The sequence below is a fragment of the Homo sapiens genome, chromosome 18 (genome assembly GCF_000001405.40).
Source record: "Homo sapiens chromosome 18, GRCh38.p14 Primary Assembly".
NCBI lineage: Eukaryota > Metazoa > Chordata > Mammalia > Primates > Hominidae > Homo > Homo sapiens.
This window is the reverse complement of record NC_000018.10, coordinates 4,138,002-4,157,344: the sequence shown is the minus strand read 5'-3', so window position 1 is coordinate 4,157,344 and position 19,343 is coordinate 4,138,002. Positions and strand designations below refer to the sequence as shown.

Genomic DNA, 19,343 nt, shown 5'->3' with positions numbered 1-19,343 from the left:
GGAGTGAAGCACATAGATAGTTTACCATTGTTTTCAAACCTACATAATAGTTTATGGACTATAAGGTAAAATTTAAGATAAAATGTGAGATTTAAAACAAATGATGCTTGTTACATAAAACAGGGAGTTGGGTAAAACAACTTAAGGAAACTATTTGAGTGCAAAGACAAGCACCCAGAGTTAAGTGAGCTGACGGCCCGGTCCCACCTCTGATCTTGGTGGTCCATGATCTCAGACAAGACATGTCCCCGTCTAGTTTTCATAAACTTCACGTCTAAAACAGGATTTAAACATAGATGGTTTCTAGTTTAAAATTTGTTCTGTGAAAGAGGCATTTATAAATCAAGAAACTCATTTTAAAGATACAACTGTAGACTTTAAAGATTTCACCCTAGAGCTTCCAGAGTTTCTCAGCCATCCATGCCTTTCAGAAATGTTCCTCCTCAGCTGTGCACTCGGCCCTATGGCCATGATCATCTTTCTCATATTTCTGCATCTTCTTCATCTTATAGGACTATTAATCATTGCTCAAAAAAAAATTCTTAAGTGCTAGAAGATAAAGTAAAAAAAGCAAGATCTGTGTCCAAAATAATCCAGGGAGATCTGAGATAAGTTTAGGGTTTTTTTAGGTCTATAGATTCATATCTGTTCAGTTTTCACTTTCTCTTTAGACCTTTCATCTCCTATCCAAACAAAAATTTACCTTGCTTCCTGGAAATTCTCTTTTATGACTTACTGAGTATGATTATCAACATTTTATCAGGAGATTATTTCCCTTTGTTTTAAAAAGGACTGCCAAAATGTAAAGTATGATATGGTGTCTTGCAGAAATTGATTGGTTTTTCACAGAAAGATAACATAATCTTATAATATAGTCAGTAGAAAAAGATACATTTTTAAATAACGGCAGGAAACAGAAGGGAATTAAAATATGTTGCATTCCTGTTACATACCAGGTACTGTGCATTACATATATTATTTTATTTAATCCTTATATAATCATCTGTGGTGGTGGAAATAGGAATACTACCAATCACCTATGCTATACCAGAAAGCTTCTAACACAAACTCCAGCCCAGACTTCTCTCCCACATTCCGGTGTTGTATATCCAGCCACCTATGTGGCAAGTCCAGTTGGCACTGATAATTCAATCAATATGGCCAGACTGAACGTATCAGCTTTCCCTAAAAAGCCTGCTCTAGACTCAGCCTTTCTCATCTCCAGCGACGTCGAGGTCACTCTTCCAGTTGCTTAGGCCAGAAATCTTGGGGTCATTGTTGTCTCTTTATTTTCTCACCCTAATCACCCAATCCATCAAAAGGTCCTGTCAACTCTTGCTTCAGAACAAGTTCAGCATGGATCTGACTGCTCCTCAGCCCCACCCGAGTCGGAGCAAATGTTGCCTGTCTCCAGGTGGTTCACAAGCTTTCCAGCTACCTGCATCCTGACCTCTCCTATGTACTGTTCCAAACCAGCAGCCAGGATGAGGTTTTGAAACATAAGCCATGTCGACTGTAAGCTCAAACTCCTGCCATGGCCCCCTTTTCACTCTCAGAGTAAAAGCTGAAAAGCCATGAGCCATCCTTGATCCACTCCTTCTTCCACTTCCCCACAGCACCCCACCAGCCCACCATGTTTAATGTTACAAATTCATAACAGCTCATCTTTGCTCATAAGCTTGTCTAAGTACTGAATTGCTGGACATATATCTTTTAATATACATATACCCACTTTTCAGTAGTGTAGTTTGCTCTTAATGAATTCCTTATTCACTACTTTGGAAGGAAAAATATACACATCTTTACATTCAGAAAATATACTAAACAGCAACTGTGGGAGAAAAGTCTATGAGGTTAGCAATCCTAGTTGAACTACCTTGTATTATCTGTACCTACTACTATTCCTCACAGTGCCTTAAAAGACCCAGGGAGGAAAATGTGTTCCAAGTAGCAGGGTGGGCAAATCCACATATAAGCATGGTGTGAACCGTAGAGTGCCCAAATAAAGCAAATTGTTGCGACTTATTTTCATCAGTTCCCACATGGTTCACAATGGGCAGCAGATTTGTAGAAGTAAATTGTGCACATACTTACTAATCTCCTCCCTCACTTCACTCCATCCCATGACTTTATTGCAATCCCAAGACCAACCAGGAACACTCCCACCTTAGCACTATAACCCTGCAGTCCCTCTGCCTGGAACACCCTTCTCTGGCATGGGACTCACTCCCTCACATCTCTCAAGTTTTTGATCAAATCTCACTTTCTTGGTGGAATCCCTTCTCCTCCCTACACCTCCCTACCTATGCACTTCTGATACCTCTTACCTTGGTCTGTTTTTCTCACATCTATAGCATGTTTCACCTTCTGAACTGCTCTATAATTTACTGTTTTACATTTATTATTTACTTTCTGTTTATTTGTCTTCACTAAAATGAAATGTTCACTAATGTATTCTCATCCCCTAGATAGTGCTTGGCATATGATAGATGCTCGCTAAATCTTTGCAGAACGGTGGGGCGAATGAATGAATGAGAGAATGAATGAGTGCTTTCCCTTGTTCCTCATACTAACCTGGCTAAAGTTAGCCAGGAGGTATTTTACAAATAAGGACATTAAAACTGAGAGAGGCTAGGTAACTTTCACAAGTCAGAAACTTTGTAAGAGTCAGATCTGAGATGAAAAGAGGACTTCCTGATCGGGACCTTCTCCACTTTATCACACTTCAAAACATGTATTTGATGAAAATATAGGTGTTCCATAAAATGCAATACCTTTGTAGTGTGTATTCTTCCTTCTCCGCACTCTCAGCCAATAGTTTTTAAATAAGCCTCTTGGAATACCGTAACTAAAGTGACTGGCTTATAGAGTAACACACATAAAATGAATGATATGAGGTGTATTCATCTTGACTCTGGCTGCAGAGTTACAGAAACAAACTAACTTGAGTTAGCTTAAGCCAAAAAAATTAATTTAAAAATTAGTAATTTAATTTTTTTTATTTAAAAAAAAAGGCGGAGGCCAAGGCAGGAGGATCACTTGAGGCCAGAGTTTGAGACCAGCCTGAGCAACATGGAGAGACTCTATCTCTACGAGAAATTAAAAAAAAAAAAAAAAATAGCCGGGTGTGGTGGTGCACATCTAGTCCCAGCTACTCTGGAGGCTGAGGCAGGAGGAACACTTGAGCCCAGGAGTTTGAGGCTGCAGTGAGCTATGATCGCACCACTGCACTCCAGCCTGGATGACAGAGCAAGATTCCGTCTCTTTATCTCTTACGGATACATGAGCCCATGAAAGCCACAGAAAAGAATGAAAAAGAGGGAGCAGGAGGCAGATGAGTTGAGAGAGTTCTTGTTCCACCTTCCATGTGTGTCTCTTCCATTCTTCCTTCTCCATGGTTTACCCATCACTCTTTAACCTGGACAAAGCTATAGTCTCACAGTCCCAGTTATGGGCCTGGTTTGGGAAAAACACCTCTCCTGGTCCAATCAGGGATGTCCAGGAACGAGGACCCCTTTGACAACTGCAGGATGGAGAGTGCTGGGCAGACCCCAAAGAAAGGGACTCAGCAGGCAACTCCCAAGTAGCTGATTCTAGAAAAAGACAGTGGAAGAGTAGGAAGCACATGATTGAATCAAACAGCTGAAGTCCAAATTCCTGTTTTTCACCTTTCATCTGTGTAAATTGTTGCTAATGAGAAAACGTACCTGAATCTTCTGATACTCAAATAATTATAGTGTACTTGTTCTTTTACTCTTGTTCTTTCTCAGATATAGATGCTAAATCTTGATTATGTGGTGGTTAAAAAAAAGAACAGGAAGAAAAAAGTTAAAAAGAGGGACACTTGGGGTAAGGAAAAGAAAAGAAAATGGAGAATCAGGAGTTCTGCATTTTAATCTCAGTGCTGTCACCAAGAAGCAAATGCCCTGGGCAAGTCAATTCTCTGGTTTCAATGCCCTTCTCTATATAATGAGTAAATCAGACAGAATTGGTAGGTTTCCCAACCTGCTTCATCAGGAGAATTAGCTGGGATCATTTTCAAAATGCAGATTCCCCTGCCTTACCCATGAATATTCTGATTTAAACGATCTTGCATGAAATTCTATAATTGTATTTTAATGCAAATTTCCAGATGACTCTGATGATCAACTGCATTTGGCAACCATTACACTAGATGACATTTAAGACCTCTCCTAGTGATTAATATATTTGTTTACCTAACAATTATCTAACTTATAAAACCAATTATAATAAAATGAATTTCTTCTTGTGTTTTGGGTGTCTTTTTCAGAAATTACATAATCTTTCCACTTTGTTTCCAAAGAAAATTAAGAGTACTATCTAGCAGACAATAAATTCTCAATAAATAGTCATGAACGGATAAATGATCAGTTCTATATATTTTTAGAAATTAACAATTTTTCATTATCTCCTGAGTTACTTAGTCCTCATATATGTGGGGAAGAAAGTCCACTCAGAGCTTGTCTGGTTTAATGGAATATTGAAAATACTTAGCAGGATACTAGTATATAAATCAGGGCTCATAATCTTTAAAGTATGACTAAAAGCTTTTGATGATGGCGTCTCATTTTTGTCTTCTATGTCATGGATAAAGAGGTATGTGTGAAAGTCAAGTGTTCCTCCTGTGTATTATTATCATGCCTGAGGCTGTTGTGTTTCTGTTGTTCTTGCCTTTTACCACCCACAACACTTTCATACCTGTCAGCTTTGCCAGTCTCAAAATATTGCTCTAACAAATTCTGCAGAGAATTGTACTAGCCCTGAACTTTTTGAAAGTCCAGTGTTCTTTTTGGAAACAAGATGTGAGTTTCTAAAGAGACTGAACTTCCAGACAGAGCATCTGGGACGTAATTCTGCCTCTGCCTCTGTGCCTATTCACTGCATAAAATTGATCGAGCCATATCACCTCCTCTGACATCTACTTCCTCTTCTGTAAAATGAATTCCACACTCATTTAAGCACTATAATTCTTATAATTAGGAGGTTAAAAAAATACAAATTATATTCTCAATTCTGAATATCACTACATTTCTGCTTATTACTTAGATTTATTATTTTTCTCATTCCCTTCTGACAATATTTTAATATGCTACCTAGATCCAAAAGAATACATTGCTTACAAAAAAATAGAAACAGACCTTTACAGGTATTTACACTTTTCGACATCAGATCAGTTTTCTGTGTGACCCAGGTCCTTTTCTATGTCACTTTTCAGAAAGGAAACTCATAGCTCAGCCATATAGCATGTGATATGATCTGGAATAGTTACCTCCTTCATAAGTGTGGGTCCAGTTATATGTTCCATTTTGTCACTTTCCTAAGAAACTATTTTTTTAATATTATTATTATTTTACTTTAAGTTCTGGGATACATGTACAGAACTTGCAGGTTTGTTACATAGGTATACATGTGCCATGGTGGTTTGCTGCACCCATCAACCCATCATCTAGGTTTTAAGACCCGCATGCATTAGGTATTTGTCCTAATTAAGGATAGTGGCTTGACTTAGGCACCAGCAAGTCTCTAGTAGCACACTTGGGAATATTATGCCATGAATGGCATCCTCCTGTGGCTTTTTTCCAGAATGAAAAGAACCACTCTGGAAAAAAATGATACATTTTAGCCCTTTTTAAAGTCACACTGGCTTAGTTGTACTGTTGAGAAAACAAATAACGCTCAGGAAGTGAATACAATCGCATATGTATATTATGTCTTACAGAATTGGATCATTGATGCTTGCATTTTATTGCTTTTTAAAGAAAATAAATGATAGGAAATGTATATTGTAGAATATCAAGCCTATTTATTACAGCAACATTGTTTTTTTTCTGGGTGATTGATTTTATTTTCTGAAAAGCATAAAAATACAAAGTGTGACATCATGCAAGAACACGGCCATGTAGATTTTCTATGAAACTCTCTTCTTAACAGCATTGAATATAATGTGTGTCAGAATAGTTCTTATGAGATCATTTTTAAGTGTCTTTTTGTTTCAGGCTAGTTATTACATCTAATTATTGCATTGTTATGTTTCAGAGCAGTTGAACATCAGATACCCAGAGTGACATCAGGTTAAAAAAAAGCCTGCAATTTGGATCTTTTCCTGACTCGGAAGCAAGGAAAATGGACAATTGATAATCAAAGGTAAAACTGCCCCCTTTCCCCCTTACTTGTATAGGAAGCAGTTTCTTAAATAACAGCTTCCTCTTCAGCTATCCTATATGAAACATTTTTTAATAGCATGGTATATTTGAACAAAAATATTCCTGGCATACACTTTCCAGACATATTAACAGTCTGTTGAATTTAAAGCCTGTGTTTTTTAACTTCCTAGCTACCTGTACAGAATCTAGGCCAGATGTATTTTATATATTTAATCTTCATTGTTGTTGTTAATCTGGAACGGCATATTGGGCACATGCCATTTTTATAAATCTGTGGACCCAAATATTGTACATAAGGTAGGTTAGGTATGAAATTATGGAAGTAAATGGCATAGTGTTAGCTTTTCTTAGCATATTGAACAAATTTGCATTTATCCACACAGACATGTTCAACATGATGTAAGTGTGCTAAGAAAGGCAATGAAAGGCAGGGCGTGGTGGCTCACGCCTGTAATTCCAGCACTTTGGGAGACCGAGGTGGGCAGATCACCTGAGGTCAGGAGTTTGAGACCAGCCTGGCCAATATGGTGAAACCCCATCTCCACTAAAAATACAAAAATTAGCTGGGTGTGGTGGCAGGTGCCTGTAATCCCAGCTACTGGGGAGACTGAGGCAGTGGCAGGTGCCTGTAATCCCAGCTACTGGGGAGACTAAGGCAGGAGAATCGCTTGAACCTGGAAGGCACAGGTTGCAGTGAGCCGAGATTGCACCACTGCACTCCAGCCAGGGTGACAGAGAGAGACTCCATCTCAAAAAAAAAGAAAAGAAAACAAAAGAAAGGCAATGAAAACCCTTGAGTCCTTGCTATCATCTCCACTCCTTTCATTATGTAGTTTTTGGAGGGAGAAAAAAAGAAGGGTCTTACCACATATAAATCAAATATACTACAGAAGTGGTGTCAGATCAGAAGGAGATTCATATTGCTGAATAATAAGCTATTGTCTTTGTCTGCGTTACTTGCTTGAGACAGTGACTTGGGTATGGCAATTTATTAGGGAGCTGATCCAAAGATCAAGAGTTGGAAGCAGGAAGAGTGAATCAGGGAAGAAGCGCAGGCCAAATTATGGGTGGGTTAGCAAGTCTACCACTGCAGGCAATGGGAACTTGGTTCCTCCCAGGAGGGGTACAGATGCCCAAATTTCCGTTAGAAAGATGTGCAGCAGGAGGTTTACTGACTGACTTTTTCTCCTTGGTTTTGGATTTCCCCAAGGAGCATGAATTCCCTCACAATGCTGGGCTGTGCCAGCCATGCATGGGTAGAAAGCAGAAAGACACTTAGTTGTCACTTGAGGTGTACACTGTAAGGCAGTGGTCCAGGGACCGGTTTCGTGGAAGACAATTTTTCCACGGACAGGGTGGGGAGGTGGGGAGATGGTTTCGGGATAAAACTGTTCCACCTCAAATCATCAGGAATGAGATTCTCATAAGGAGCACATACCTAGATTCCTCACGTGGACAGTTCACAACAGGGATCATGCTCCTATGAGAATTTAATGCCGCCACTGATCTCACAAGAGGCAGAGCTCAGGCCGTAATGCACGCTGGCCCACTGCTCACTTCCTGCTGTGCAGCCCAGTTCCTACCAGGAACCAGTACTGGTCTATGACCTGGGGGTTAGGGATCCCTGCAAAGGCAAGGAGACTCCCCTGCAGCTGTGGTTGACATCCAAAGTGAACCCCGGGACATAATGCAGGGAGCCAGCCGCATCTGTTGCAGCTCCTTTTACTTTATTCTAAATCAGCATTTTTCTCCTAAATGAAGTATCTCCAAGAAAAAAAAAAGTTTTGTGTTTTAAAGACATTAAATAATTATACCTAAATATCATGGAATCCGAGTGAATTCTGTTTCGACACTAACTTCTTCATGAATAAATTGTCCGTCTTCAGTAGATGGCATAGTGTCAGCTAAGTGAGAAATGCATCTGAGTCCCCATGTATATTTGAGACATTATATGAGATCCAAAGTATGACCAACATGTTGGAATAGTCAGAATTAATATAACAACATTTAATTATAGCTGTATTTGTTACTCGCTTTATATTGTTTCATTTACAAGAAGGTGTCCGTGTATACACAAAAATTTAATTTTTGTCTTTCCTATTTGGAAACAACCCTGTTTGTGTGAAATGCAAGACTGAAATTATATATATATTATCTGGGCATAATGTTAGATGAATGGTCAGCTGGCAAAACAGATTTAGTACATTAAGGTGAATCAGGGCTTCTTTGTTTTGTTTTGACATGAGGACATTAAACAGATTGAAAATAAAGTTGGATAAAGCCTGTGGTTGTGTTGTGACCTAGAAGATCATATGCTCAGAGGAAGAATATAATTGATAAACTCTCTAAGGAGCAGCTATTAAAAATAAAACAGACAACAACAAACATTTAAAGTGATGTGCATTTGCATGCAGATTTCCTCGTGAAGGAAATTAAAGTGGAGGGGACAGGAGAAAGGGCAGCAGAGAATGGTAGTGCAGGGAAACCAGGAAAGTCGTAGCAGATGCTAGGCAGAAATACCAAAAAGAGCAGACAGAATCAAACTAGGGATGAAGAGGATCCACGACATGCAAACTGAGTGAAGGGCCCCAGTTCATTTGAGGCTGGACATCCTCCTGAATAACCAAAGAAAAATTACTGTGTCTTCTCACCTGAACAGTGTAATTGCCCCTCATTAGTTTACTGCTCCCTGGTCTCCTTTGGCTCCAAAGTCTTCCAGAATCACAATTCTGATCATGTCTGCTTTTTGCTCAGAAAATGTTCTCTGATTTACCAATTCATCATTATCTAAATTTCTTAAGCAGACATTTAAAGCATGCCACTCTAAGTTGTTAGACTTACTATTTTTATTCTTTGACCTCACTTACCAGTGGCCTAGCCCATTGTGTAGAAATGTAAGGGCTGTGATTTTTTTCAAGCCTTCCAAGTGATTTTAAGGCTTTGTGGTTTTCAAACACAGATTGGTCTAGAGCAAGCTTATCTAGCCCGCTTTATTTTGTTGTTGTTGTTGCTCTGTTTTGTTTTGTTTCCTTTTAGGCTTTTAGCAGCCTGAAGCCATGGCTTTTAGTTTCTGTCTCTAGTGATAAATGGAAAAGAGAGACAAGGATGGGGCTTTTTCCGTGCCCAACCAGAAACAGAAACTAAGAACACATAACTGTATTCTCTCCCTCGGACACCCCTGTTCTGGAGTGAGGCCCAAGAATGCACATTTCTAACATGTTCCCAGATGATGCTGATCTGTTCCATGAGACCTTAACTTGGAGAACCACTCTGTAAACTAAATGATCCAGGCTGGCACTACAATTTCTGCGTTACAGTTTGAGTCAAAGACTGATCACAATGAAAGGTCTTCCTTGCCAACATCACCATTGTGAGTAGGTGTGTTAGTTTAATAACAAGCTCTGAGTCTTCTGGTCAGTTACCATCTTAATATCATAAAATTCCCAACAGTAAGATTTTTGATGCATTTTTATATCCTTTACTGTGTCACAGACTTTGGAAACCCATAAATATCTGTTGGATGGATAAAGGATGGATGGATGGATGGATGGATGGATGGATGGATGGATGGATGGATGGATGGATGGAAGAATGGATGAACAGGTTTAGCAACCAAGAACTGGTTTCAACATGAAACTTAACTTCTTACAAAAAAACTACTCTGGCTTGTGCTATAGAGAAAGGTGGTTTTCCTTCACACAGAAACCTTATTATATAAGCCCATACTCAATATATAAGACCTTTTATTAGATGAAATAACACTACATAGTTAAAGCCCAAGCATCTGGGTATCAATATCCGGGTATTGTGCTCTTTAATAAACAGGGTCTCTCACGAAAGACTTTTTGCTACTTGATTGAGTACAACCGGGGAAATGTCATTTATATCAAGATAAATTGTACATTTTAGTTTGTGAAAGAGCCGCTGGTTGTGTGAAACCAGCAAATCACATCTATTTAATAAATTCCTTTGCAAATGTCTTTTCCTTGAGTTTAAATTTTGCAGCTGCAGCATAATTTGAATGTTTATTCACATTTAGGACAATTATGCTTTCTGGTTTTTTTGCTTTCTTGCATTCAAATGTGTTCATGTGTCAGTGTTGCACATTTTCTCTCTACATCTTTTATCTGCATGCATCATCCCATGATTGGCTTGGTAAATTTTTCCTACTTTTCTTGCTAAAATAACTGTTCCTTCTGTCTGTTTTCTGCCTACTCTTTGATTTATTCCAGAAATTGGGCTCAATGCCTACTTTTAGAGCTCAGTGTGGAATTTATTTTGTATGTTTTTAAACCAAGTTTCCACTTATTTTTTTGTTATGTATTCTGTAGTGCAGTCAACCTCAGAACGCACTCATGAAAAAGCCTGTAATCATATATTAGCATAAATAACAACAACAGATGATAATATGAATGCTTGAAAATTCGTTTTTTTAATGTATCTCATAATTCACTTTTGTAACAGAAAATTAAAATTTTCATTTTATGTTGTGGTTTGCCTAATAGTAAAGCTTAAATATTAATTAAAACATAAATGTCCTAGCCCCAACTTTGTTATTACCTTGCTGTATGTTCTTGGCTAGTCCCTAGGCTTCAGTTACCTCCATTATAAAAAGAAGGGTTTAGGACAAATAACCCCTGGAATCCATTCTAGTGCCTTATCTTGCAATTTCAAGGTACAGATCATATGAAATCCTACCTAAAATCCGACACAAAATTATGAGTGAGTCAATCAGTCCACTAAGGGCACATATTTGAAAATAGAGTTGAAAAGGCAGGATTTGGGATTCAGAAAGACTTGAATTCAAAACTCGGCTCTTTCATTTATTAACTGTGTGAACGTGGCGAATGGACTGAACCACTCTATGTACTTTAGTATCTTCATCTGTAAAATGGGGGCCGTGTTATTACCTGAAAGGTCACTTTAAAGACCAGAGGTAGTGTATAAAATAAATCCGGCATCTGGTAGGAGCTGAACATACATAGCTAGAAGCTGACCAGAATCCCACCACGGTTTTGGAGGTTAATGGAGGTTACTGTATACTCTTCTTTTCCAATATAATTCTACAAGAGTAAGAAACTTTTATTTAGGACTTTAAAAGATGAACACACTTTAGAAAATGTATCCATAATTTAGTCATCTGAGACTGAAAGGCTAGTGGAAAAATTCAGCATTTTTTTTTATCTACACGGGATAGCTCTGGTTCTATACATTGCTGATGGTTTCATGTGTCAAGTCAGGCCTTTTTCATCAAGAGTGATTCCTCAGTGTCAAGCATGAAGTTTGCAAATTACGTTTTGTTTTCTGCCTTGTAATCTAGCTTGGGGAGAAACTAAAATAAAGATTCTTCAAGGCAAAAGTTTAACCTGAATAAATGTTCATATGGTCTCAATTTTTAACTGATTTCAGAATGACTAAAATTATTCATTTTTTTCTTCTCGTTCTCCAAAAAATTATTTTCATAGCCAATTTGCCAGATGCAGCTTTATACCCAGAGGCAAAAGAAATCAAATTTTTGGTCAATAGAAGATTCGTTTACTAAGAGATTCATGCAGATATTGAATACTTTTCTGTTCTGTTTTATGTGTTTTTTAGTTTCAGTTGTCATTTTGATATTGGTTACCCCAGCACTTGTCAGCAGAAATTCAAAGCTGCCTACTTAACAGGAGTAGATCAATAAAGTTTTGCTGGAATATTTCATCAATCTTAGCCCAGGATTTAATCCTGTTGGCTATTTTTCTATTTTAATATTCTATAAATCCTCTCAAGTTAATGTGTTCTGAGATAAATCTTACTATTTCACTATTCTATAGTTTTTATGTCAGAAATAATTTAGAAACTAAAAACTGCTATTGCTATTTGATACCTTGATTTTTTCAGACATCTGTAAGATAGAAAACCTGATTGTAGAATACTGTGTTTATTTGTCATGTCTCAGAGTTCTATCACTATCAGGATGATAATCATACTGATGAGGCTGTCTCAAACCTTATGAGATATAGGTATAGATATTTAAATATATAGACATATTGTGGGGGTGGTGATATTGTTAATTGGGCAACCAAGACCTTCACAATAGAAAAGTTATAGGCAATTATTACTGACATTGGCATTTTTAATAAAATGACCGATTAAGTACTCTCTGAAAGAAACGTAAATGTTATTTTTAGATGATGAAATACTTTCTTCGTAAAATAAGAGTATAATAGAGTTTATTACAAATCACATATTTGAGTATTTGTTTATACTGTAAGAATGTTCAAGGACAACATTTGACTATGCAGTAAAAAGGTGCAACTTGGAAGAAAAGGCACATTGACTGGATTTATTTTCCTTTTGCATATTCTTATCATATGCTAGACATTTTCACCTAAAATTTTTACCTGTCTTATTTATTTAAAGGCTATGTTTAGAGAAACAATGATACCGTGTTAAAAAATAGACATTAGCAAAATTGCATAGTAAGGGAGGTGGAGCAAGATAGCTGGATAGATGCCTCCACTATCATCCTCTCTGCAGGATCACCACATTAAGCGACTATCTGCACAAAAAAAAATCACCTTTATAAGAACTAAAAATCAGGTGAGTGGTCACAGTACCTGGTGTTAACTTCATATCACTAAAAGAGGCACTGAAAAACAGTGTTGAATTGCCTACAGCACCCCTTCCCTGTCTCCCAGCAGGGGCCCTGTGGCTCAGAGAGGAAATCGGTGTGCCTGGGGGGAGGGAGAACACAGTGATTGTGGGACTTTTTGTATAGGAACTCAGTGCTGCCCTCTCACAGTGGAAAGCAATGTGGGACAGAACTTAGCCAGCACTCATGAAGGCAGCACTTAGACTAGTCCTAGCCAGAGGGGAATTGTCTGTCCCAGCAGTCAGAACTCTAATTCTGGCAAGCCTCACCACTGTGGGCTAAAGTGCTCTGGGGTTCTAAATAAACTTAAATGCTAGTCTAGGCCACAAGGACTGCAATTCTGGGGCAAGTCCTGGTGCTGTGCTGGACTCGGAGCCAGTGGGGTTGGCGTGCTCACGATCTAGTCGGACACCAGCTGACACAGCTAAGAAAGTGCTTATGCCACCCCTCCCCCAGTACCAGGCAACACAGCTCACACCCTAAGAGAGACTTCTTCCCTCTGCTTGAGGAGAGGAGAAGGAAGAGTAAAGAGGACTTTGTCTTGCATCTTAGATACCAGCACAACCACAGTAGGCTAGGACACCAGATAGAGTCCTGAGGATCTAGCTACTGCATGACATGTCTAGAGAAAACTTGGGCCAGAAAGGAACCCACTGCCTTGAAGGGAAGGACCCAGTCCTGGCAGGATTCATCACTTGATGAGTAAAGAGCCTTTGAGCCCTGAATATTCAACCGTCACAGCCAGGCAGCACTTGCCATGGGCCTTGGTTGTGACTCAGAGCCATGCTGGATGCACATGTGACCCAATACATCCCCAGTTTGGGTGACTAGGGGTAGAGACCATTTCTGCTTGTGAAAATGAGAGGGGAAAGTAAAGTGGACTTTGTCTTGCACCATAGGTACTAGCTTGCTCACAGTGGAGTAGAGCACCAAGCAGGCTTGGGGTACCCAGTACCAGGCCTTGTCTCTTGACTGGCATTTCTGGACCTTCCCTGGGCCAGAGGGGAACCTGCTGCCCTGAAGAGTGAGTCCCAGGCCTGGCAGCACTCACCACAAGCTAACTCAAGAGCCCTTGGACCTTGAGTGACCACCAGCAGTACCCTGGCAGTACTCATCACGGGCCTTGGGCAGTGGTGGCCATGGAGAGAGGTTCTTCTGCTTGTGGAAAAGGGAGGGAACAGTGGGAAGGACTTTGACTTGTGAGTACCAGCTCAGCTGCAGTACAATAGGGCATCAGGTTGATTTCTAAAGTATCTGACTCCAGGCCCTGGCTCCTGGATTGTGTCCCTAGACCTCCCCAGGACAAAGGGGAACTTGCCATCCTGAAGGGTAGGATATGAGCCTAGCTGGCTTTGCTGCCTCCTGATTGTAGAGCCCTAGGGCCTTGAGCAAATATACGTGGTAGCCAGGCAGTGGTTAGTGCGGGCCTTGGGTGAGACCCAGTACCATGCTGGCTTCAGGTCTGACCCAGCACAGTCCCAGTGGTGGTGGCGGCCACAGGTGAGCTTGTGTCACCTCTCTCCCAGCTCCAGGCAGCTCAGCACAGAGAAAGACTCTGTTTGTTTGGGAGAAAGTAAGAGAGGAGAACAAGAGTCTTTGCCTGGCAATCTAGAAAATTTTTCCCGATCTTCTCCGAGACCACCAAGGCAGCACCTCTGTGATTCTGCAAGAGCAGAATCACCTCACAGCATTGCTGGGCTTGGGGTACCGCCTAATACAGATATGCCCATAGTGACAGAAAAACTTAGATCATAATACTCAAATTTATGAATACCAATACCTGGAGAGCATTCCAAAGGACAGGTACAAACAAGCCTTTTAATCCTGTTGGCTATTTTTCTATTTTAATATTCTATAAATCTTCTCAAGTTAGTGTGTTCTGAGATAAATCTTAACTATTTTGCCGTTCTATACTTTTTATGTCAGAAATAATTTAGAAGCTAGAAACTTCTATTGCTATTTGATAACTTGAATTTTTCAGACATCTGTAAGATACTAAAATCTATTTGTGGAATACGTGTTTATTTTTCATGTCTCAGAGACCTATCACTATCAAGATGAGAATCTTACAGATGAGGCTGTCTCAAGCCTTATGAGATACAGACAGATATAGATATGTAGATATATTGTGTTGGGTGGTAATGTTGTTAATTGGACTACCCAGGCCTTCACAATAGAAGAGTTATTTCTTCATGGGCCATTATTACTAATATTGGCATTTTTAATAAAATAACATTTTAACTACTCTCTGAAAGAAGCATAAATGTTATTTTTGGATGATAGAATAATTTCCTTAGAAAACAGATTACAATAGTATAATAGAGTTTATTATGACTTACAATTTTTGAGTATTTGTTTAAATGGTAAGAATGTCCAAGGACAACATTTGACTATGCAATAAAAAGATGCAACTTGACAAGAATTATTTTAAAAAAGGACTGTGAAGACTACAATAAGTACTTAATTCTTCAATGCTCAGACACCAAGGAACAACCACAAACATCAAGACCATCCAGGAATACATGACAGCACTGAATGAACTAAATAAGTCACCAGGGACCAATCCTAGAGATACAGAGATATGTGACCTTTCAAACAGAGAATTCAAAATAGCTGTTTTGAGGAAACTCAACAAATTTCAAGATAAAACAGAGAAGGAATTTAGAATACCATCAGATACATTTAACAAAGAGACTGAAATCATTAAAAGAGAATCAAACAGAAATTCTGGAGTTGAAAAGTGCAATTGACATACTGAAGAATGCATCAGAGTCTCTTACCAGCAGAATTGATCAAGCAGAAGAAAGAATTAGTGAGATTGAGGACAGGCTATTTGAAAATAGACAGTCAGAAAGGACAAAAGAAAAATGAATGCAGGTGATGTTTAAACACCTAAAAGTGTGGTGATACCAGTACTCAAAGTATGGTTTCATGGAGATCTCCAAGATTTTTCAGGGAGTCCAGAAGGTCAAAACTGTTTTTATAATATTAAGACTTTAAGACTTCATTTGCCAAAACTTTCATACTTAATGAGCACCTAGTGGAGTTTTCCAGAGGCTACATGACATGGAATGATGTCATGTAAAAGTGGAATGCATGCTTGTGTATTCTTCTGTTTTCCAGGGTTTTCTAAAGTAGTAGGTTTGGGCTATAAACAAATTCATTTTCAAAGGTTATCTCAGATCATTTTCAGAACTTCTACATGTCCTTATTAGCCATCTTTGGTGTGCCTACTTAGTCTCTGTAACCTTATTTTCACCTAATAAATTATTCATTTGAAATCTTGGGAAAAACTGAATAAAAAAGAATGAAGTATACCTACAAGATCTAGAAAATAGCCTCAAAAAAGAAAATCTAAGAGTTATCAGCCTTAAAGAGAAGACAGATATAGAAATCAAGGTCGAAAGTTTATTCAAAGGGATAATAACAGAGAACTTCCCAAACATAGAGAAAGGTATAAATATTCGAGTACAAGAAGCATATAGAACACCAAGCAGATTTAATCCAAAGAAGACTACCTCAAGACCTTTAGTAGTCAAACTTCCAAAGGTCAAGGATAATGAAAGGATCCTAAAAGCCCCAAGAGAAAAAAACAAATAACATGCAATGGATCTCCAATATATCTGGCAGCAGACTTCTCAGTGGAAACCTTATAGGCCAGGAGAGAGTGGCATGACATATTTAAAGTGCTGAAGGAAAAATATTTTTATTCTAGAATAATATGTCCAGCAAAAATATCCTTCAAATATGAAGGAGAAATACTTTTCGAGAACAACAGAAGACAAAGGATTTTATCACCAGACCTGTCTTACAAGAAATGCTAAAGGGAGTACTTTAATCCAAAAGAAAAGGACTTTGATGAGCAACAATAAATCACCTGAAGGTGCAAAACTCACCAGTAAAAGTAAGTACACAGAAAAACACAGAATATTACAACACTGTGGTGTTGTAAATTGTGGTGTATAAACTATTCGTATCTTGACTAGAAAGACTAAGAGATGAACCAATCAAAAAATAACCACTACAACAACTTTTCAAGATATAGACAGTAGAATAAGATATAAATAGAAACAAGAAAATTTAAAAGTGGGGGGACAAAGTTAAAGTGTAGAGTTTTTATTCATTTTCTCTTTGCTTATTTGTAAGATTCTTTGTTTATACAATCAGTGTTAAGTTGTCATCAGTTTAAAATAATGGGTTACAAGATATTTGCAAGCCTCATGGTAACCTCAAAACAAAAAGCATACAACAAATACACAAAATAAAAAGCAAGAAATTAAAAAATAAAAAATAACACCAGAGAAATTCACCTTCACTGAAAGGAAGACAGGAAAAAAAGAAAGAAGCAAGAAATGATCACAAAACACCCAGAACACAGGTAACAAAATGGCAAGAGTAAGTCCTTACTTATCAATAATAACATTGAAAGTAAATGGATTTAACTTGCCAGTCAAAAGACAGAGTGGCTGAATGGATAAAAGACAAGACCCATTATCTGTTGCCTACTAAGAAAATATTTCACCTCTAAAGACACACATAGACTAAAATAAAGGGATGGGAAAAGATATTCCATGCAAATGGAATCTAAAAAAGTACAGGAGTAGCTATAGTTATATCAAAATAGCTTTCAAGACAAAAAGCTCTAAAAAGAAATAAAGAAGGTTATTATTTAATCATAAAGGGTTCAATTCAGCAAGAGGATGTAATGATTATAAATACACTTACACCCAACACTGGAGCACCCATGTATAAAGTAAATATTATTAAAGAGAGAGATGGAATCCAATAAAATAATAACTGGAGATTTCAGCACCCCACTTTCAGCATTGGACAGATCATTCAGACAGAAAATCTACAAAGAAACATTGGACTTAATCTGTTGTGTAGACTAATTGGACCTAATAGATATTTATAGAACATTTCATCCAATGGCTGGCAGAATAAACATTCTCCTCCTCAGCACATGGATCATTATCAAGGATAGACCATTTGTTAAGCCACAAAGCAAGTCTTAAAACATCAAGAAAATTGAAATTATATCAAGTATCCTCTCACCACAGTTGCGTAAAACTAGAAATCAATAACGAGGAACTTTGGAAACTATGCAAAGACATGTAAATTCCAATATATGCCCCCGAATGACCAGTGGGTCATGAAGAAATTGAGAAGAAAATTTAAATATGTCGTGAAACAAATGATAATGGAAACACAACGTATGAAAGCCTATGTGATACAGCGAAAGCAGCGCTAAAAGGAAAGTTTATAGCTATAAATGCCTACATTAAAAAGTAGAAAAAACTACAAATAACCTAATGATGCAGCTTAAAAAACTAGAAAAGTGAGAGCAAACCAAACCCAAGATTAGTATAAGAAAAGAAATAATAAAGATCAAAGCAGAAATAAATTGAAACAAAACAATACAAAATACCAATGAAAGGAAAGTTGCTTTTATAAAAATATAAACAAAATCAATAAACATTTAGCTAGACTAAGAATAAAAGAGAGAAGACCCAAATAAATAGAATCAGAGATGGAAAAATACATTACAACCAATACAGCAGAAATTTAAAGGATCGTTAGAGACTACTATGAGCAACTGTATGTCAATAAATTGGAAAACCTAGAAGACATGGATACATTTCTAGACACATACAACCTACTAATATTGAACCATGAAGAATTTCAAAACCTGAACCAGACCAATAACAACTAATGAGATCAAAGCTGTAATAAAAATTCTCCTAGAAATGAAAAGCCCAAGACCCAGTGGTTTCACTGATGAATTTTAACAAACATACAAAGAAGAACTAATACCAATCTTACTGAAACTCTGCTGAAAAATAGAGGAAGAACAAATATGTCTAAATTCATTCTACAAGGCCAGTATTACTCTGATACCAAAACCAGACAAGGACACATCAAAGAAAAGGAAACTACTGGTCAATATCCCTTATAAATACTAATACAAAAATCCTCACTGAAATGCTAGCAATCCAAACTCAAAAACATGAAAAAGATCATTTATCATGACTGAGTGAGATTTATTCCAGGGATGCTTCAACATATGCAGATGAATCAGTCAACATATCAATAGAAATATTTGCCCAAATAGTGTCTTAATATAAAGAGAATTAAGGACAAAAACCTTATGATCATTTCAACTGATGCTGAAAAAGCTTTTGATAAAATCTAACATCACTTTGCGATTAAAAAAGAAAAACCTTCAAAAAAGTGGGTGTAGAAGGAACATACCTCAACACAATAAAAGGTGTGTACGACAGACCCACACCTAGTATTATACTGAATGAGGAAAAAGGAAAAGCCTTTCCTTTAAGATCTGAAGCAAGAATAGGATGCCCACTTTTCACCACCGTTATTCAACATATTACTGGAAGTCCTAGCTAAAGCAGTCAGACAAGAGAAGGAAATAAAGGACATCCAAATTGGAAAGAAAGAAGTCAAATTATCTATGTTTGCAGATCATATGATCTTATATGTGGGAAAGCCTAAAGACTCCTCCAAAA

At 37.8% G+C, this 19,343-nt stretch overlaps 1 protein-coding gene across 11 annotated transcripts in view; it reads left to right on the top strand.

The window, feature by feature from the left end:
* Positions 1-19,343, top strand: part of DLGAP1 (DLG associated protein 1) — a 959,276-nt gene that overhangs the window by 297,963 nt on the left and 641,970 nt on the right. For 6 of the 11 annotated variants that reach the window (NM_004746.4, NM_001398525.1, XM_047437933.1 and 3 more), the window contains exon 2: positions 6,058-6,165. The gene's annotated coding sequence lies outside the window, so the exon portion shown is untranslated. The remainder of the gene's footprint in view (positions 1-6,057; positions 6,166-19,343) is intronic. The other 5 variants (NM_001398527.1, NM_001398526.1, NM_001398528.1 and 2 more) reach the window with 1 other exon arrangement.